Source organism: Homo sapiens, chromosome 14, assembly GCF_000001405.40.
Source record: "Homo sapiens chromosome 14, GRCh38.p14 Primary Assembly".
Classification (NCBI taxonomy): domain Eukaryota; kingdom Metazoa; phylum Chordata; class Mammalia; order Primates; family Hominidae; genus Homo; species Homo sapiens.
Genome location: NC_000014.9, coordinates 73,784,847 through 73,805,573, shown reverse-complemented (window position 1 = coordinate 73,805,573; position 20,727 = coordinate 73,784,847). Strand labels below are relative to the sequence as shown.

At 47.8% G+C, this 20,727-nt stretch overlaps 1 protein-coding gene, 1 long non-coding RNA gene and 1 other non-coding gene across 7 annotated transcripts in view, besides 6 other annotated features; 1 reads left to right on the top strand and 2 right to left on the bottom strand.

Annotated features, from left to right (window-relative positions):
- Window positions 1-1,945: 1,945 nt before the first annotated feature.
- MIDEAS-AS1 (MIDEAS antisense RNA 1) lies at window positions 1,946-18,214 on the bottom strand. Its single transcript, NR_109995.1, has 3 exons — window positions 18,065-18,214; window positions 16,458-16,547; window positions 1,946-2,689 (listed from the first exon to the last, which is right to left on the bottom strand). It is a non-coding gene; the product is annotated as an MIDEAS antisense RNA 1 (long non-coding RNA).
- LOC124903424 (small nucleolar RNA U13) lies at window positions 6,456-6,559 on the bottom strand. The gene has a single exon (XR_007064407.1). It is a non-coding gene; the product is annotated as a small nucleolar RNA U13 (small nucleolar RNA).
- Window positions 7,255-7,374: an enhancer, noted in NCBI's record as "active region_8719". NCBI's record gives its function as "activates an Ori minimal core promoter by ATAC-STARR-seq in GM12878 lymphoblastoid cells {active_cell/tissue: GM12878}" and the evidence as "EXISTENCE:reporter gene assay evidence [ECO:0000049][PMID:35858748]".
- Window positions 8,723-9,922: an enhancer, noted in NCBI's record as "P300/CBP strongly-dependent group 1 enhancer chr14:74262355-74263554 (GRCh37/hg19 assembly coordinates)". NCBI's record gives its function as "activates an origin of replication core promoter dependent on BRD2, BRD4, P300/CBP, MED14 and CDK7 cofactors, with strong dependence on P300/CBP, by STARR-seq in HCT116 cells {active_cell/tissue: HCT116}" and the evidence as "EXISTENCE:reporter gene assay evidence [ECO:0000049][PMID:35650434]".
- Window positions 15,289-20,727, top strand: part of MIDEAS (mitotic deacetylase associated SANT domain protein) — a 75,164-nt gene continuing 69,725 nt past the window's right edge. For 2 of the 5 annotated variants that reach the window (NM_001394972.1, NM_001043318.3), the window contains exon 1: window positions 18,366-18,472. The gene's annotated coding sequence lies outside the window, so the exon portion shown is untranslated. Of the gene's footprint in view, window positions 15,750-17,451; window positions 17,548-18,365; window positions 18,473-20,727 lie in introns of those variants that run through there. The other 3 variants (XM_005268206.1, XM_047431914.1, XM_047431913.1) reach the window with 3 other exon arrangements.
- Window positions 17,540-17,589: an enhancer, noted in NCBI's record as "active region_8718". NCBI's record gives its function as "activates an Ori minimal core promoter by ATAC-STARR-seq in GM12878 lymphoblastoid cells {active_cell/tissue: GM12878}" and the evidence as "EXISTENCE:reporter gene assay evidence [ECO:0000049][PMID:35858748]".
- Window positions 17,940-17,999: a silencer, noted in NCBI's record as "silent region_5921". NCBI's record gives its function as "represses an Ori minimal core promoter by ATAC-STARR-seq in GM12878 lymphoblastoid cells {active_cell/tissue: GM12878}" and the evidence as "EXISTENCE:reporter gene assay evidence [ECO:0000049][PMID:35858748]".
- Window positions 18,080-18,129: a silencer, noted in NCBI's record as "silent region_5920". NCBI's record gives its function as "represses an Ori minimal core promoter by ATAC-STARR-seq in GM12878 lymphoblastoid cells {active_cell/tissue: GM12878}" and the evidence as "EXISTENCE:reporter gene assay evidence [ECO:0000049][PMID:35858748]".
- Window positions 18,180-18,769: a silencer, noted in NCBI's record as "silent region_5919". NCBI's record gives its function as "represses an Ori minimal core promoter by ATAC-STARR-seq in GM12878 lymphoblastoid cells {active_cell/tissue: GM12878}" and the evidence as "EXISTENCE:reporter gene assay evidence [ECO:0000049][PMID:35858748]".

The window sequence follows — 20,727 nt, the reverse complement described above, 5'->3', positions numbered from 1 at the left end:
AGGGCCTGGCATATAGTGAGTGCTATGTAATAGTTTTTTTGTGGCTGTCATTGTTGTGTCTCGCTTTGTCACTCAGGTTAGAGTGCAGTGGTGCGATCATGGCTCACTACAGTCTCAACTTCCTGGGCTCAAGCAATCCTCCCACCTCAGTCTCCCAAGTAGCTGGAACTACAGACCCGCACCACCATGCCTGGCTATTTTTTAAATTTTTTTTGTAGGGATGGGGTCTCACTATGTTGCACAGGCTGGTCTTGAACTCCTGGGTTCAAGTGATCCTCCTGCCCTAGCCTCCCAAAGTGCTGGGATGACAGGCAGGAGGCACCGTGCCCAGCCAGTAATAGTTGTTATCATTATTATTTATAACCATCCATCTGTATGATTAGAATTTTCTCAGAACCGTGTGTACCAAAGCAAAATACAAAAATAAGTTGGATGCGGAGACTGAAATAAGACTGTGAATTGGTCAGAACTCTGACTTAAAAATGCAACAGAAACTGGCTCTGGATAATTTAAAACAGAAGAGGGATTTTTGGGAAGGATGCTGGGCAGCCCACAGAGTCTCTGGGAAGGCTGAAGAGCCAGGTTCAGGGCATGAATGAGAACAAACGGTGCCAGACAGCAGCCAGGAGCATGGCCAGAACTGTGGTGCACAAGCTATCCAGAGAGTCCTGCTCTGTTCTCAGAGCCCTGGGCAGCTGTGCCACAACCATGGCTGGGGTCTGAACCATGACCCTGCTGCTGTTGCCCTGGAATCTAGACAAGGCTGCAGTAGCCATGGCCACTTCCACCAGAAAAGGTTCTGTGTTGGGCTCTGGCTTGGTCCAGGCTCCTCAGTCCATGGCACCTGATGGGCCCAGCCCAGATCACATGACTAAACCCTGCAGCTAAAGGAGGCTGAGAAGCATCTGGCATTTTCAGCCTCTATGTTGACGGCTAAGCAACAGGCTCCAGCTTCCACGAAGACTCCTAAGATGGCATCTTCCACAAACCTGGGAAGGGACTCCAAAACTGAGTAGCCAAAAAGTAACAAACATTACTCATCACCCTGCTTTTAAATTTTGTTCCATAATATTGGCATCATTGATGGACTTTATTTTTTTATTTTTTATTTTATTTTATTTTTTTGAAACGGAGTTTCGCTCTTCACTCAGGCTGGAGTGCAGTGGCGTGATCTCGGCTCACTGAAACCTCTGCCTCCGGGGTTCAAAGGATTCTCCTGCCTCAGCCTCCCAAGTAGCTGGGATTACAGGCGCCCACAACTACGCCCAGCTAATTTTACAAAAAACTACCAAGTTTTAGTAGAGACAGGGTTTCACCATGTTGGCCAGACTGATCTCGAACTCCTGACCTCATGATTCACCCACTTCGGCTTCCCAAAGTGTTGGGATTACAGGTGTGAGCCTCCGTGCCTGGCCCATTGATGGACTTTATAACAAGCACTGGCCCAGTGCTCTGGTATCCCTTGTATTTTTCCTTTTTAAAAAAATAGAGATGGGATCTCTCTATGTTGCCCAAGCTGGAGCGCAGTGGTACGATCTTGGCTCACTGCAACCTCTCCCTCCTGGTTCAAGCAATTCTCCTGCCTCAGCCTCCTGAGTAGCTAGGATTACAGGCGTGCGCCACCACACCCAGCTAATTTTTGTATTTTTAGTAGAGATGGGTTTCGCCATGTTGGCCAAGCTGGTCTCGAACTCCTGACCTCAGGTGATCCTCTCTCCTCGACCTCCCAAAGTGCTAGGATTACAAGTGTGAGCCACCGCGCCCGGCCGTATTTTTCCTTTTTTTAAAGACTAGAGATGGAATCTCACTATGTTGCCCAAGCTGTACTGCAGCAGCTATTCACAGGCAGACCACAGCTCACTGCAAACTCAAACTCCTGAGCTCAAGTGATCCTCCCGCCTTAACCTCTCAAATAGATGGGACTACAGACGAACACCACCATGCCTAATTTTGTATTTTTTTTTTTAATGGAGTCTTGCCCTGTTGCCCAGGCTGGAGTACAGTGGTGCAATCTCAGGTCACTGCAACCTCTGCCTCCCGGGTTCAAATGATTCTCCTGCCTCAGCCTCCCGAGTAGCTGGGATTACAGGCACGTGCCACCAAGCCCAGCTAATTTTTGTATTTTTGGTAGTGATGGAGTTCCACCATGTTGGCCAGGCTGGTCTCGAACTCCTGATTTCAGGTGATCCTCCTGCCTCGGTCTCCCAAAGTGCTGGAATTACAGGCGTTAGCAACTACACCCAGCCTAATTTTGTATTTGTTAAATCAACAGATGCCAAAATGAACACTACTGTCATGTGGACTCTTTGAAATGTTTTGCTTTTAAAAATAAGTCTTCATGTTGGAAGGTTGCAAACCCTTAACATCGTCCCAACACTGCTTTCCAAAGTGGAGAAATGGAGGCCCGAGGGGTGAAGTGACTATGCAAGTCCACACAGTTGGTTTAGTAGCAGGACTGGGCCTCGTGTCGCAGTTCTCAATGTTGCCTCATTGCTGTGCTGCCAGCAGCCAGCTCAGGAACAGGCCCAGCCCTCCAGCCCCACAGCCACCTCCTTCTCAAAGCAGGTCTTGACAGGAACCCAAAGCTGCTCTGGAATACTGGCCTGTGGCTGCTGCTGCTGCTTTCCTCACCTTTATCTTCTGGGATGGGAAGTCCTGAGTGGCTTTCTCTCTGCCTTCTAGCTCCTCCCTGGAGACAGGAAGAAAAAAAAAAAGAACAAGGCTGACAACAACCCCTGCACTGGGAGCGCTCTCCTTCCTGATGGTGCTGGGCCTGGGAGGACCTCGCCTAATAGACTCTGACCTCTGCTAGGCTCCACTCAGCCTCCTCTCAGAGCTGCTCACCTCCTGCCCTCACCTTTGACTTGCTCCAGATCCTACAAACCAGAGTTCCTGGTCCTGCCTTCCTGCCCTAGTTCCCGGTCCCATGCTTTGGTTACATCCTGACATGGGCTGTGTGTGCCCAGCACCGGAACTGCCTGTCTCCTTGCCTGGCCAGCCCGATCTGGAGCCAGCCACTCCTCAGGAAGTTCCGGAAACAGGGCTCATACCCTACCTTCCCTGGCATCCTCAGCACCCCACAGGCCTGGCCCTGCAAACCCTCGTTGAAAGGAGGAATGACCTGTTCTGTGTGAGTGCTGCCCATGCCTCATCATGACAAATTAGAGCAAAGGGAGGTGGAGGTGCTGAGAGGGCATTTCTACCAAACTATGAGCGACTTCTCTTATACACTACCTGGGGGGATGTCTGTCTTGTGTTGAGACCAGTTATTTAGATCTGAAATCAAAATGTCATAAACAAGATCTGGGCTGTGACCTGCCCAGGCCAGAGCAAGGAAAACTGGTCTTGGGAATCCAGAAAGAACTTCAGGATTAGGCAAAGTCTGCTGAGCTAAACCAAGAAGTGAGATATTCATTCATTCATTCATCCATTCAATAAATATGTATTGAGCACCATGTGTGTCAGGTTCTAAGAGAGTTACCCAGAGATTCAATGGTAAATGAGACATACTCTCTGCCTGCAAGGAGCTTAGAATGAGGAAGACAAAGCAGAGAACTGGTATCTACCATAGATTATGATGTAGGCTAGAATAATAATAGCTAACATTTATGGAGTGTTCACTATATGCCAGAATCTGCACTAAGCTGTTGAGGCTGCATTGTTTCATATAATCCTTACAGAAACCGTATTAGTAGATATTATTATTATTCCATCTTACAGATGAGGAAATGGAGGCACAGAGAAGTGACTTGCCCAATGTCACACAGCTGGGGCATGTAGCATACCAAGAGTTTAAATCCAGGCTGGGTGCGGTGGCTCATGCCTGTAATCCCAGCACTTTGAGAGGCCAAGGCAGGCAGATTGCTTGAGGCCAGGAGTTCAAGACCAGCCTGGGCAACATGGCGAGACCCTGTCCCTACAAAAAGTACAGAAAATTAGTTGAGCATAGTGGTGTGCCCCTGTAGTACCAGCTACTTGGGAGGCTGAGGTGGGAGGATCGCTTGAGCCCAGGAGGCAGAGGTTGCAGCCCTGATTATGTCACTGCATTTCAGCCTGGGTGACAGAGTGAGACCCTGTCTCAAAAATAAACAAATAAGTAAGTAAATCCAGGAAGTTAGACTCCAGGGCCTGCGCTTCCAGAGGAAAGCACAGGGTATTACTGTAGCACAGAGAGATGAACCCGACATGGGAGGGCAAGGAAGGCTTCCTTGAGATCACATGTGAGCAGAGTCCAAAACAATCAGGCAGAATTGGGAGAATAGGGGAGGAAAGGGCATTCCAGACTGAGGGAACAGCATGTACAAAGACTGGCGGCGAGAGGCCATAGCGCGTTAATTACTATTTAGTGAGTACCAACTGTGTGTCAAGGACATCTAGAAGCCTTCAGGGACTGTAATCAGTATCAAATGACTGGCTTGTCTGGGATGAAGAGAAGACTGGGGAGAGAAGCAGCTGGAAGGTACAGGAAGTACCGGTTCACAAAGGTCTTAAAAATCCAGGCTAAGGAGTCAAGACTTTATCCACAGGACAGTGGGGGAGATGCTGAAGGATAAGCAGAGAGTTTTCTAATCAAGCTGTACCTCAGTAAACTCACTTTGAACCATACTACTTAAAGGAATGGAGGCAGGCAAGGCTGGAGGGCACACTAGATGCCCAGTCAGGAGATGATGGTGGCCTGAAGTGGGGACTGGCAGTGGCATGAGAGAGAAGTAGCCTAGGTTTGATTACTTCATTGGAGGGGAGCTCACCATCAGACCAGAAGACTGGTGGGGACCAAGATACCAGCCGAGCCTCAGAGGGTCAAGGGTCAGCAATGGCCCAATGCCAGGCAGTTGGCCAAAGTCTGAACAAGTGAGTAGATGGAAGGAGAAAAACCCAGCAGGAGTTGGCAGGGACCCTGCAGCAGGAAAGGACTCCAGCCCCTGGGGGACTGATGAAGAAAGAGAATTTTCCACCAGACAGCTGGGGACAGGGGAGACAATGGAAAACCAGAACCAGGAAGGTGGGTCCCTCAGGCTGGCAGCCACACTGAGGATGCTCAGCTTCGAGAAACGGATGGAGTTCCTTTTGTGTCCCTCCTCCTCCCTGGTCCTAAACACCCCCTTCCATGGCAGGTGGATTCTGTTTTTTTTTTTTTCTTTTTTTTTTTTTTGAGATGGGGTCTCACTCTGTCAACCAGGCTGGAGTGCAGTGGCGCGATCTCAGCTCACTGCAACCTCCACCTCCCAGACTCAAGTGATCCTCCCTCCTCAGCCTCCTGAGAAGCTAGGACCACAGGCATGCACCACCACGCCTGGCTACTTTTTGTATTTTTGGTAGAGACGGGGTTTTGCCATGTTGCCCAGGCTAGACAGGTAGATTGTTTAATCAGGTCGGGTAAGAGGGGGCAATGTGGTAAAAGGGAAAGAGCAGGAGCTTTGAAGTCAGAGTCTGAGTTGAACCTCATCCTTGAGCCACTCACTAGCTCTGTGACTTCAGGCAAGTTACTTAACCTCTCTTGAGCCACAGCTCATTCATCTGTAAAAGGAGAATAAACAACAACTACTCCCCAGGGCTTGCTGAATGGGAACAGCACCACCAGCTCCTGCAGTGGAGTTATTGTGAGGATGCAGTTGACATTTGAAAGCCCAGGGCCTGGCACCAGGGTGGGAGCTCAGTCAATTCATCAACCATTCCCCTTCATCAGAAGCCATCCCTGTGCAGGACCTTGGGCTGAGGGTTTCCTGTGCTATGTTATCTCCCTTTTAACAAATCCAGGGAGATATCACCATTTCATTTGGTAGGCCAGGAATCAGGGTCAGAGACTTAAGAAACATGTCCAATATCACATAGCATTGGTTCTCCAAACTTTAGTCTTGCATCTTCCGCACAACTTTTTCGATATCAACTGACCATCTATACTATTTTTTACTTAATATTTTATTTAAATTAGTCCCTTTTTTACATTAATCAATGTACTCTTTTATTTAAGAGATGGGGCTAGACACGGTGGCTCACGCCTGTCATCCCAGCACTTTGGGAGGCTGAGGTGGGCGGATCACTTGAGGTCAGGAGTTTGAGACCAGCCTGGTCAACATGGTGAAACCCTGTCTCTACCAAAAATACAAAAATTAGCTGGGTGTGGTGGTGCATGCTTGTAATCCCAGCTACTCGGGAGGCTGAGACACAAGAATCGCTTGAACCCAGGAGGCAGAGGTTGCAATGAGCCAAGATTGTGCCACTGCACTCCTGCCTGGGTGACAGAGCAAAACTGTGCCTCAAAAAAAAAAAAAAAAAAAAAAGATGGGGTCTCACTATGTTGCTCAGGCTGGAGTGCAATGGCTAGTATTCACAGATATGATCATAGCACACTACAGCCTTTTCAAGAGACCCACCTGCCTCAGGCTCCCGAGTAGCTAGGACTACCGGCACATACCTGGTTCCAACGTATGTTTTTCTTTTTCTTTTTTTTTCCACATCAGATGGGTAATGTGCTGACAATATAACAAGGTTTGAGTGAGGCACATCTCACACATGAAAGTGAAAAGCCAATCGTCATGCTTATGAACTACAAAAGGATACCAATTTAAATTTTTTTTTTTTTTTAAGACAGAGTCTCACTCTGTTACCCAGGCTGGAGTGCTGTGGTGCAATCATAGCTCACAGCAGCCTAGACCTCCCAGGCTCAAAGTAAGCCTCCTGCCTCAGTTTCCTGAGTAGCTGGGACTAGAAGAGTATGCCACCATGCCTGGCTAATTTTTTTGACTTTTTGTAGAGCCAGGATCTCACTATGTTGCCCAGGCTGGTCTCAAACTCCTGGGCTAAAATGATCTTCCCACCTCGGCCTCCCAAAGTGCTGGGATTATAGGCATGAGCCACCATGCCTGGCCTCAATTTACTTTTTAAAACGGCTTTCTGGGATGTAATTCACATACCATCCAACTCACCCATATAAAGCTTACAATTCAGTGGGCTTTTTTTTTTTTTTTTTAGGTATATTCACAAAATTGTGCAACATTACCACAATCAATTTTAGAACATTTTCATAATTAATTTACTTTTAAAGGAAACTTTGCATCATTCTTATAAGTGGAAAACTTGAATTATTTGCCACAAATGGAAGGCAAAACAAAAATAAAGCAAAGAGAGCTGGGCAATGTTATTAAATGCTATCTAGCTAGCACTGCCTGTGAAGTATCTGAACTTGAGACTTCTCTCTTTGCCAAAAAGGGAGGATGGGAGGTATTGAAGAGTTGTTGAAGACACACCAGCACTAACCTGAGACTCTCTCTTTGACATAATCAGAAAAACAAAAAGAGAACTGAAAAGAAAAATTACTTTTTCAATATATAATTTAATGCCACATCTCTGAGCCATCCAAAATCATCTTAAGTCTACGTCCCCACCTGCCTCCTCCAGGTAATTTAAGTGGCTTGCCCAGTGTCACACAGCTAGGTAGTGGCAGACTAAGCCTAGAATTCAGGCTTCTTAACTGCTAATGCTATGTCCTTTCCACTACGTCATAGTCCTCTTTGCAATCATTATTTTAAATTAGGTCAAGTGCCTAATGTGTATGCTAGGCAGCCCTGTTACAGATTTATAAAGCATAAATTTTACAGCTAGAAGGCACATCAGAAACAATCTAATCTAACTCATTTCATTTTACAGATGAGAAAACCAATAAGTTTGTTCTCTTAAGCATGTTTAGAATTGCCTGTCAGTCAATTGGCTGGAACATACAACCAACAATATAGCTATAAACAGCCCAGAATTACAATGATCTTTCTCTGGTCTCAGCCTTAAACCAAACTTCCGGATATCTCAGCCCTGTCACCAGGTCCTGGTTTAGCCTCAGTCTTGCTCTTTAATTTGGTCTGTTCTCACTTCTACATGAGTAGTTTCCCCTTGACCTAAACTGCCTAGGTGGCTTTAAGGATCACAGGGGTGAGGGGAATTCGTTGGTGGATTGAAGGAGTGTGTTATATGAGAAAGAAATGAGAGCTTGTCAAGAACTGTGGAGGGTTTAAGATTTTATCCTACTTGCAGGCTAACAAGTGAGCCTGCCGCAGTTTCATGGATGCTGGCAGAAAACACAAGACTTCTAGGTGTGTCTGAAACAAAAGGTCTTATTTGCTCATAGCAATAGCAATAGCAATAGCAAAAATACTGACATTTTCTTGTGCTCATTTCCTGAGTCCCAGTTCCCAAAGACAATGCAAAGGGGGCCAGGTGACATCTGTACACACAGCAAAGCATATCACAAGAGAGCACAGCTTTAAGCTTGGGGAACCAGAATCTTTTTTTTTTTTTTTTTTTTTTGAGTCAGCATATTGCTCTATTGCCCAGGCAATCATAGCTCACTGCAACCTCAAACTCCTGGGCTCAAGCAGTCCTCCTGCCTCTGCCTAGGTGTGAGCTGAAGCATCCTGCTCAGAATCTTAGCTAATGGACAGTAAGCATGCTTTACTTTGTTCTGGGAAAGCAGCTCTGTTAAAAAGTTGGTTTGAAACAAAGGGCAGTGACTCCGCTCACAAGGCATGCAGACATGGGAGAGACCCACGGAGAATTGTCTTCCAACAAGTGTTATGTACGTGCAGTCTGTGGAAAGTGAGCTCATGGTTCTCTGCCATACTGGAAAGCACAGGGTGAGGAAGATGGAGAACCAGAAGCCCAAGTCCACTAGTGCTTTCTGTTCTATATTGATTCTTATTGGTTTCAGTAATGGAAAGAGCATTTGGAGGCTTGCTTGTGGATTTTGACACGTCTTATTTTTTGATGTATACAGCCCTCAATTCACAGCCTTGACTGGGTTTAGACAATTCAAATCATTCCTTTGCATAGCTATTAGAAAACCCTAGAAGCTCCAAAAATTCACAATTGGGAGAAAGAATATAACCTCCCAAATGTTATCTGCTTCCTGAAAATAATGCACGCTGGGAGAACCCAGGGTGGCCCCACTGCAGTTGGTTTTGGAATGTTCATTCATCTCTTGCATCATATTTATCAATACCTAAAATAAATGTGCTAAGATCTAACAGTCACCATGATGCAGTCACCAAGATTCCTGACTTGGTCTAGTTTCTCATCTGAAATGAGGACTACATGGGCCATGAAGTAAGGTGTTATTTGTTATGTGGGGTCCACATCTGAGGCAGATATTTTGCGTCTATAACCAAGACCTTGAATCCAGGCCTCTGGCTGTCAGGAATAATGGCTGTTCGTTTTATTCCTCTGCCTGGAGAAGAATAAATTCCTAGGCTAAAGAAAGGCCAAAGCAACTGAGGACAGGAGCTCATAGATACTGCTGGAACCATACCAGGACCTGGGATGTGGTCCACAGAGGAATTCTGTGGCATTCCATAGGTCCTCAGGCTCTTTGCAACCAACTCAGATGGGAGTTAACCTGTTGACTGGACTCAGGCAATGAGTTCCTGGCAGGTGAGTCAGTGGCCACACCCTCCAACTGGGGGCAAAGGGCAAAAATTATGTCAGTAAAACAAGGCCAAGCACAATGGTGCAGGGCAAAGGCCATTTGAGTGGGATATCTTTAGCTGGTGATTCTAAAAGAGTGATATGGGAACCACAGATGTTCCCGCAGATGTGGTAGGCTTCTCTAGATAAATATAAATATAAATATAAATATAAATATAAATATAGAACTGGCTATCCAAAGAGGTCCTTCTAGCTCATTGCCTCCTGGAGAACTCTACTTGGAATTGGGAAGTAAAAGGGGATAAATTAGAGGGATCATGGAGTCTTTTGCCCTGTCCAAGCAATCCATAAACTATTGCTTTTATGCACCGTTCCTTGGTGCTATCGTGAAGAATTTCAGTTCATGAAGATCCCTGAAGATCTGCAGCCCCTTATGGACTCTATACTGTCACACACCTGGTTGCTGTAATCCCCAGATATTACCACACCCAGAAGAGGAAGACTTCCTTCTTCCTAAAAGAAGCTGTGGGCCCTAAAGTAATCTCAGGAATGCCCAGCAACCTCTTGGCCTATGAACCCAAAAGACACCTCCCACATTATGCTAAGACTGATGTCCAAGGACCACCATTTATTACTGGCAGAGAACTGTGAAAATACTTCCTCCCCACTGTGCGGTGGGCTCTAACCTTTGAGCTGTGCCTGCCAATAAATATTCACCTATCTCAGACAGGAAAAAGCACCCTGTGTGGGGTGAAAGAACTGGGATCCGTGGCCAACCTGGGTCCCAGAAATGCCATGCAGTTTGCCTTGATGCTTGGGTTTGTGTTTTTCTATCCATTGTGAAAGACTGATTTACAAACTCTGGGTGGTTGTACAGGCTTGCTGGGCTCCTGCGGTCGTTGAATGCACAGAATTTCCACAGCAGCTTTGGACAGCTGACTCCGCTTTACTTTTGTTAACTGTTTCTAGACTTGGCCTCCACGCTGTGGCCTGCGAGGCTAACAAGTCTGAGAAGAAGCTTCAAGAAAGAATATGTGAATTAGAGTTCATCCATAAGCCAGGGGCCCGCAATCAGACTGTACTTTCAAGATACTGTCTCAGGGCCAGGCACGGTGGCTCATGCCTGTAATCCCAGTGTGTTGGGAGGCCAAGGCAGGCAGATCACTCAAGGTCAGTTCGAGAGCAGCCTGGCCAACATTATGAAACCCCATCTCTACTAAAAAAAAAAACAAAACTAAAAAAATTAGCTGAGGCAGGAGAAGCATTTGAACGCAGGAGGCAGAGATTGCAGTAAGCCAAGATTGCATCACTGCACTCCAGCCTGGGTGACAGAGTGAGACTCTGTCTCAAAAAAAAAAAAAAAAAAAAGGATACTGTCTCAGAGTTTGGGACTCAAGCCATTGACTTTCTAGTTGCTTGTTACTTTGGAAACCTTCTGGTGACCCAGCATCCTGGGACATTTCTTGGCCCACCTAATTTGACTTTCTGCTCAGGCTCTTATATGAAAACCAGGGCTTCTAATACCTGGCAAAAACACTTCACAGAGAACACCACATTTAGAAGACATCCCTGCATTAGTTTTCTATGGCTACTGTAACAAATTACCAGTTTTATATGGCTACTGTAACAAATTACCACCAACTTGGCAGCTTAAAACAACACAGACTTTTTACTTTACAGTTCTGTAGGTCAAAAATCCAATGCAGGTTTACCAGGCTAACATCAAGGTGCTGGCTAGATTGTGTTCCTTTCTGGGGCTCCAGGGAATTTGTTTCCTTGCCTTTTCTGGCTTCCAGAAACTACCTGCATTTCTTGGGTCATGACCCCTTTTCTCCATCTTCAAAGCCAGCAATGCTGTATGTCTTCAACTATTCATTCTTCCATAATTACATCTCCCTCTGACTCTGATTCCTCTTCTGCCTCTTGGTTCCACTTTTAAGGACACTTGTGATTACAATGAACCTACTTCAATAATCCAAGATAATCGCTTTATTTTTTATGCATTTATTTTTTGGGGAAGGGAAGTCTGGTTGAATAACTGCCTTATTTTAAGGTCAGCTAATTAGCAAATCTTAATTGCATCTGCAACCTTAATTTCCCTTTTGTCATGAAACCTAATATATTCATTAGGATATGAACATTTGTGGGAAGATCTTTATTCTGCCTACTGCAGTTCCCTTCTGAATTACTTTTGGACAATCAGAGGTAAATAAATGTAAAGACTTGCTGTGTCTGTCTTCCCAGCCAGACTGTGTTTGGGGAGGGTCAAGCCTTTTAATTTAGATTATATATATTTTTTTGAGATGGAGTTTCACTCTTATTGCCCAGGCTGGGGTGCAATGGCATGATCTCGGCTCACTGCAACCTCTGCCTCCCAGGTTCAAGTGATTTCTCCTGCCTCAGCCTCCCCAGTAGCTGGGATTACAGGCATGCACCACCACACTCGGCTAATTTTTTGTATTTTTAATAGAGATGGGGTTTCTCCGTGTTGGTCAGGCTGGTCTCCAACTCCTCACCTCAGGTGATCCACCCGCCTCAGCCTCCCAAAGTGCTGAGATTACAGGCATGAGCCACTGCGCCTGGCCGTAATGTAGATCACATCTTAAATGTGCAGTCTATAACTGATCCAGTCCTCCCCATGAGCTGAGCTGATGATGGTTGGGAGAATTTTTTTCTTTTTTTTTTTTTTGAAATGGAGTCTTGCTCTGTCACCCAGGCTGGAGTGCAGTGGAGCAATTTTGGCACACTGCAACCTCCGCCTCTCAGGTTCAAGCGATTCTACTGCCTCAGTCTCCCGAGTAGCTGGGATTACAGGCGCCCACCACTACGCCCAGCTAATTTTTTGTATTTTTAGTAGAGACAGGGTTTCACCGTGTTGGCCAGGCTGGTCTCAAACTCCTGACCTTGTGATTCGCCTGCCTCGGCCTCCCAAAGTGCTGGCATGAGCCACCGTGCCTGGCTGGTTGTGGGAATTTTTAACTGACAGTCCGATTTGAGGGTGTGGGAGACATGTGATGTTGCTATCCATGTAGAATCCTATTGTCTGGTGAATGATTTACTTGTTTAACTGATGCTTATAGAATGCTTATATGTAAGAACTTTACAAACTAATTTAATTATCATAACAACCTTATCATATATGTACAACTGTTATTATCATCCTCGTTTTACAGATAAGGAAACTGAGGCATAAAAAGATTAGTAACCTGTCCAAGGTCACATAGATAGTATGTGGCAGAGATGGGTCTTGCAGCCAGGCAGCCTGTGGATCATCCTGAATCCTTGTTCCTATGCCCCCATACCAAGCTGCCTTGTCCTCTTGGTTTCTGCTTACTCTTCAGGCCTCGCTGCTCTGGTAGGCAAACTTGCGGTCCATTCTTTCACAAAGCCGAACCTCTCCCTCCAACACTGGTTCCTCCCCCTTGCAACCTGATGCTCATGCTCATTTCTCCCTCTGTTCTCAGTGGTACAGACCCCTGACCTCCTCTGAGCTTGCTGTAAGGTCACCTTGCCCAATCAGGGCCGTCCCACACACAGCAGGCTGCTGGCTCCCAACATGATATCCATGCCATGCAAGAATCAGGGGGACTCAGGAGAGCTCAGCCTCACAGCTTCTCTCTGCCTGCTCAGGTTTTCTCACTGCCAGGTTCACTTTGGCATGGCTGCCCTGGTTGAGCATAAAACAGCCTTGGATACAAGTTCCTCCCAGAGTCTCTAGTGGGGAGCTGGGTGAGAGCCCCCTCTGTGTACGGAGTACCACTTATTAAGTAGTGCATCTGTCTAGACCCCATCCAAGACCTGGAGAAGAGGAACAAGCATGAGACCCTTCTGACCCTCTTCTCTCTCCTTACCCTTCCCACCCCCCAGCAGGCCAGAAAGGGAGTGAGGCTTTCTCTATCTTAGGTTCTCTCTATCTATCTTAGGGCTTTCTTTGTCTCTACATTAGAGTTGGCCTTGCTGTTCTGGTGGAAACGGCCTCTGCTCTGCTAAGAGAAGACTCCAGGAGCTAGTCATTCAGGCATGGCCTTTGCTTTACTAAGGAGGGAGAATCTGGAAGGATTTGGAAAATCTCTTAAATCATAGCTAACCCCTTCAGCTATACAGTGGGACACCAACACCCTGATGCCTGGCCTATCAAAGGCGTTCAGTGTGTGGTAGTTATTTATCACTTTATCTCTCTCTCTCTTGTTTTTTTTTTCCTTGAGATGTAGTCTTGCTCTTGTCACCCAGGCTGGAGTGCAATGGCGCGACCTCAGCTCACTGAAACCTCTGCCTCCCGGGTTCAAGCAATTCTCCTGCCTCAGCCTCCTGAACAGCTGGGATTATAGGCATGTGCCAATACGGCCAGCTAATTTTTGTATTTTTAGTAGAGACAGGGTTTCACCATGTTGGCCAGGCTGGTCTCCAACTCCTGACCTCAGGTGATCCACCCGCCTCGGCCTCCCAAAGTGTTGGGATTACAGGCGTGAGCCATCGCACCTGGCCTTATTTATCACTCTCTAAACCGAGAACTTTCACACTTCTTTGTCTGAATGTAGGAAATTTGTTTTACATTCTGACACTGCACGAATGTACATATATAGTACCTAACTGAAACAAATGCTACACAAAACAATACTTATTATTACTTGATGCAATACATCCAGTTAATTTTTAATATATTCTCTTTTTGTAAAAAGAAACACCCTGGTGGTGACCCATAACCCCTCTCCTCAGACTTACTTTCCCCCTTCTCTGAGATCTCATAGTGCTCTCTGCAAAGCTCAACTCAAATACTTCTCATACTGCATTGCAATGTATGTCATTCTCTCCCACTAGGGACTTTGTCCTTTTCATCTCTGCATCCCTAGCATACACAGTAATAGACACCCAGTGAGCATTAACTGAAGGAGTGAGTGGAAAACGCCTGTCTGGGCCGGGCGCAGTGGTCACGCCTGTAATCCCAGCACTTTGGGAGGCTGAGGTGGGCAGATCACCTGAGGTCAGGGGTTCAAGACCAGCCTGACCAACATGGTGAAACCCCGTCTCTACTAAAAATACAAAAATTAGCTGGGCGTAGTGGTGGGCACCTGCAATCCCAGTTACTGGGAAGTACCCAGATACTTCCCAGGCTGAGGAAGGAGAATTGCTTGAACTCAGGAGGCAGATGTTCCAGTGAGCTGAGATCATGCCATTGCACTCCAGCCTGGGCGACAGAGACTCCATCTCAAAAAAAAATAAAAAAAATAAAAAAATAAGACAATGCTTGTCTGTGTGCTCAACACAAAAGAAAAGGATGGTATTTCCCTCTATGGTGGCACACGATGCCTAGCGTGGTGTTGGAGAGCTCAGACCTTGGTGGTGAGCAACCTGGGCTCAGGGAGGAGTATATACACCTCCTGCAGAGAAGACTTAAATGCATAAAGAATTAGGACCAGCGACTTTAACCATTTCCCCCTCCTTGGTTTTTTTCCCTGAAACGATGTGCTTGCATCCCCATGCTAGAATGCCTTTCTGTCCTTCGCAGTAAATTAATTATATAAAACTGACTGTGCAGACTCAAAATTTGGGGCATTTGGCATTCTTGCAAAGCCAGACTCTAGGAAACATGCCCATTGCTGAACACATTGGATGTGGTTTAGGTAGCAAAGCAAATGACCTAACAAGGAATATATGTGCTGAGCCTAGTTCCTGTTAAATTAATAGATTCACGTTCTGGCACATCCACAACCTCACAAGTCATAGCAACCGGATGACGGCATGGCAACACAGCAGCTGCGGCCACTGCACATGAGAAAAATCAGAGCCTAGTGTCTCTGGAGGGAAAACAGAAACGGCCTCTACAATTGCTGGCTTGTACTGGATTGACTGAAGGGAGGGAGCCGTGGGGGCAATCACAAGTAGATTCCTGCCCTGGTCAGGGATGGAGTATGACATCTCTCCTGCTTCCTGAAACTTTGTTTTATATTTTAAAAGTAAATAATTTGTTCCAGCCAGAGAGGAAATGATGCTGAGAGAAAGACACCATCACGTGGACAGAATGTTCTCCCTCGCCCTGGCAGCAGTGTGGAGGTAATCCTTATCAGAGATAGTCCACGACTTGCTCTTCAACAGCAGGACCACAAGCCTTTCTTCCTAGTTTTTTGACCCTCCACCCCAACCAAAATCGCCTACCCCTTCTGGCTGCCAGGGTTGAAGGCCCTTCTTGCCAACTCTCCTTCTAGGACAAAGCCCTGACTCCACAGCCACTGTTTGGGCCAAGCCCTCAGGGATCAGGGTAAATGCCTGGAGGAGGAGGAAGAGGATGCCTGGACAGATGTCAATTCTGGTGACACAAAGACATCTGTATGTGCTGTCAGGTAGGTGACACCCAATACCAGGGCTGCCTGGGACCAAGCAGGAGTCCACACCCCCGACCTAGTTTAAATTCAAGAATGACCCTCGCTCTGCAAAAGGACTGAGAGCTCGGCCTTCTGTTCTTGGGGTTTGTGTTATGCTTAGATCTGGCTCTGGCCCCTGCTTTCCTTTCCATGTTCTATCAGGAAGGCTGTGCAGGGTTGTCACTGGGTCCCCAATGATTCTCTACTGGTCTCTGTTATTTGTGGCCATGTAATGAATTCCTCAAAACACAGCAGCTTAAGACAACATTTATTATCTTATAGTTTCTGTGGGTCAGGAATCCAGGCAGCTTAGCTGGGTGCCTCTGCCTGAAGGGCCCGAGGGAGGCCCTTCAGCTGTTGGCTGGGGTTGAAGGTCTTATCTGAAGTCTTGATTAACATGGGGGGAAGGAGAGGCATCCCTTTCCAAGCTCCCTCAAACGGTGGTTGGCAGGCCTAGCTCCCTTTCTACCAGGCTGCCTTAGGACGTGGCAGTTGGCTTCCCCCACAGTGAGTGTTCCCAGAGAGTGAAAGGCATAGAGAGGACCCAGTATGGAAGCCGCATTTTTTTTTTTTATAACCTAGTCTCAGAAGTAAGATCACATCACTGGCCATATTCTATTTGTCAGAACTCAGTCAATGGATTCAGCTTACACTTAAGGAGGGAGGATTATACAAGGGTATGAATACCTGGAGGCAGAGATCATTGGCAGGGGGCGCATCTTAGAGGCTGTCTACCACATCCTCCACTTGGTGCCCTGGTACTCCAGCAACTGCCACCTTACATAGAGAAAAAAGCAATGTATGTGTAAGTGTCAGGCCTTCACACATTTACACTGTCTGCTAATTACTCCTGGGCATGCAGAAATACTGAATATTCATGAAATTGTGACTGAAAATTTGGAATTGCATATGGAACAAAAAAAATATTCAGCTCTTGTTTTAGCAAATATGGAGTATCACATGATTGCCTTTAGAAGCCTGGCTAACATATTCTCTCATTGGTTGCCTTAAGCAGAATGCACTAAGGAATTACTTCTATTTATTCCAAAATTGAAATGGGCAATCCCTTCACCATCTCCCCACAATAGCGTGATGTAAGAAGAATTTCAGGGAACTTTAATTATTGAGTCTAATGATGCAGTTATTTCTCAAAGCAGTATTATTTTTCTTGCATTGCACATTTTGTATTTATAATGTGCCATTAATGTCTTAGTAAAAATCAGAACTAGGGCGTAGCAGCTGCAACGTGGAGGATTTCATGTTGCTAGGAGAGCTTCGATCTTCATACGCCTATCTTTGGGTGAGTCTGTGGCTTTCCATGAGAGATTAACACAGACCTGGGGATCATTTCCCAAATGTCATTTTCCATCAGTCTTACATCCACCTTTCTGAACAAAGCCTTCACTCAAGTTTATGGTTTCCTGTGTTTTCATAAAAAGATGAAGCATTGAAAGGGGGGAGGTTTTATCTGGCCAATGTGCTAGGAGAAGCAGTATTTGGGGAAAAAAGGAAAATTGTTGAGCCCTAACTGATGCTTTTGAACCACCTATTAAAAGGTCCCTGTTTTCCACGACAAGCTACAATGAAGCTAATGTTTCTGTTATGAAAGCCCTTCACTGCAGTTTCGAATGTCTTTTTTTTTTTTTTTCACCAGCAAAGGCTAACCCCGTTTTTTCTCCAGCCTTATGAGATCAGGAGTTCTTCCTTGAAGACTGCTGTTTAACGACTTGGTTGCTACTTATCTTAAAGGTGGCTTTCCGTTGTACTTTTTAATAAGGTGAGCACATTTATTTTGAGCAATGATAAATTTCAGGATTACTATTGCCTGAAGCTGCCCTTCTCAGGCCTCCACCCTACCCTCAAAGTCACTTTTGACCGGTGATGAAACACAGAATGCATCAGACTCTATTTTCTGTGAGTTGAGTGTAAAGAGGTGGAAATCGCGGGGGAGGATTAGAACAGAAACCATTCTGCAGCCCCAGCTTGGGCGTTGAAATAGCCCCCAGAAGTGTGATACGTGGTAAACGTCTTGCTCACTTATAACCCGTAGAAATGACGAGGGACATCATGCAGACTTTTAGAGAGAACGTGGGGACAGGGACCCTTGTTTTAAGGCCCACTTTAGGCATTAAGAACACATAGAGCACACTGCTTTCTGACATGACCCTTTTAGCCCCAACACCAAACGGAAAAACTTTTTCTTTCCCCTCCCCCACCGCTTTGTTTGTGTACTGGTGTTTACCCTGGAACCCCAGCTTTCCGGGGACCCTGAACCCCACCACCACCTTCCAGACCAGCCTGAGAGCAGGGGACTCCAGCGCGGGGCCCCGGATCGCACTTCGGCGCGGAAACGACGCGGCTGGAGCGAGGCTTCCCTCCCAGGGCGGGGGGTGCAGGCTAGGCGGCCGGCAGCGCAGGGCTGCCCGCTACCCCGCAGCCGAGGGCGCGCAGAGTGGGGAGACGGCGCCTGGGGCCAGGGGCGCGCGGAGCCGGGGGCGCGGGCGGGGCGGCTGGCTGCAGGGCCCTGCGCGCCACCGCGCGAGCCGCTGGGTCACAGCCCGGGCCGCACAGCCCGGGCCGCACCGCCCGCTCCGCGAGGAAGTGACGACTGCGCCGTCCCGAGAGCAACAAAGTTAGAGTCTGCGGGCCGCACTCGCCTGCGCCCCGCACCCCTCCGAGCAGCCCGGGGATCCAGCACGCAGGTAAGCCGCGGGCTCGGCGCCCCCTCCCGCCACCGGGCGCCGGCGTGGGGCTCGGAATCGTTCCGGGGCTCGGGCTGGGCCGCGCGGGCGCGGATGTGGCGGGCCGGGTTGGGCCGGGCGCTGGGGTGCCGGGGTGCTGCAGGGAGGGAGCTCGGCGGCCGGGGTCGGGGCGCCGGGCTGCGCCGGTGTTGTCGCCGCTTTGCCGCGGGACTTCAAACAGCAAGGGCTGCAGCGGGGCCAGCTCCAGGCGCCGTTGGCCTGAGGTAGGGTGGGGGGAAGGGGCTTTCCGGGGCCTACGTCTGCAGCCAGCCCTCCGCCCAGCGCCTCCATCCCTGCAGGCTGGGCGCAGCTCTCGGCCCCTGCCCGGTGCTTCCCTGGGAAATGACCTCTTCCTCTTCGCAGCCCTTGTCGAGGGCGCAGGAAGGAAGTTAAAGGAACTTTCCCCGGACTTTTATTTGCTTGGCCTTCCTGGGACGAAGAGCAGAGTAGCTCGGAAGTTTGGGAAAACAACCCTACGCATTTTCAGAAAACCAAACCGGAATTGTCCCCAAGCCCCCTTGAAATGAATCGCTCCTGACTCCCCCTTTACCCTTCCCAACCATGTCCCAAACCTGACAGTGATCGCTAAGGCCTAACACTTTGCAATTTAGCCATAAAAACTGTCAGCACACCCACGTACATATGTGAGTGTTTTCTATATAAAACTCAGAAACCCGCTTCCAGCGGACTCTGTGGCATCTCGTTCTTTTCTGTTTCCTAAAACTGCAAGGGCTGCAGGAATGTGCTGCAGGAACTTTGACGGTGGTTCCCGTCGCCCTCGGTAGCCTCGTGGCGCAGGGTTTTTTAAAGAACAGCTGAGAAGTTTGGGACATTCCTGCAGAGTAACTAGGGGCTGGCGGCCCGGGCCAGTGGCGAGACTGCAACTGTAGCGGCGGCGGCGGGGACACGTTGGTGTGTGCAGGAAAGTGCGTCCGAGCCGTGGAGACTCGAGATGGGGTGTCCTAGAGGTTGAATGGTGCAGTTCCTAGCAGCAGCTTCCTGCCGGCCTGTAATTACAGCGTGATTGCACAGTCAGGCATTGTTGGCGTGGATGTTTATACACAGGCTATTGTGCAAGACCTCGGTAGTGGCGAAGAAAACGCAGCTTTGCACTGCAAATGCCCAGGATAGATCTGGGTCTGAGCTGCAGTCTCCAAATTCTTTTTGCCCTTTAACCCTAGCTAGGTGATTTATTTCATTACCTCCCTCTCACTTTTGACGACTTGTCCAAAGCCTGAGATGTGGGGTGGACTCGGGAGGCCACTGCACTCCTATCTTAGGCAGCCTGAAAACTATCCCAGGAACTCTACCCTTATTTGTCTCCGGAGAAAATGTGGGATGACGTCAGTAGGAAAAGGAGATGGGAGATGGCTATCAACCTCTCTAAACGGGAAAGCTGTTTGAATTAGCAAAATTGCACGGGTGGCTGGGTTGGGGCTGAGTTGCAAAGAGGACTCGTCAGACCATGTGTGACTGAGCTGGCGTGCTAGACTTTAAGCCTGGAAGTGTCAGCTGCAGAAACTTAGTAGGTGGTAGGTCCTAATTCCTTTATTGTGCTGGGCAAAGAGGAAACGTGCAAGTGGTAGCACTTTTGTCTGTGCTGGTGGTCTGGGTCTGGGAGGGGCAGAGGAGTGACTCCTCCTTCTCCATAGGAACCCTAGGCCCACTTTCTTAGCAGGGACTGTGGCACAGACCAGAGCAGGGATCCTCCCATTTGCCATGCTGCCTTGCAGGAAGGGAGCCAAGCCTGCAAGTATGGAAAGAAGGCAAACAGTGTCTTGTTGAGGGCCTTACAGGGGTATAATTGTATAGAGAGATTTAAAACACAGTAAAAAAGGCGTGTATTGGATTTGTGCAGGGCCATCGTTTTCACATTCTAAATCTCAACCTGATAACTCCCTGTCCTAGGCAGAAGACGCTCATGGGGAGCACTCAGCCCAGCTACGTTGCTGTGTGGCTAGGTGGTACCACCTTATGCTGGGCATGGGCAGCCTCTCTGCTCAGAGTGGCAGGTACTGATGATTCCAGTGCACTGGAGTTTCTCCAATGCCTGGCCTTTCCAGCCAAGTATCTGAGCTTCACCTGGAGGAAAAATGCTGTTTTGCAGCCTTGTGCCAGGTGTGTGTCATGGGCACAGTGACCGTTTGTCAAACCAAAAGATTAGGGCACAGTCCCTGGCAGGTACCTGTGTGCTTCCAGAAACTCGAGGACAAACA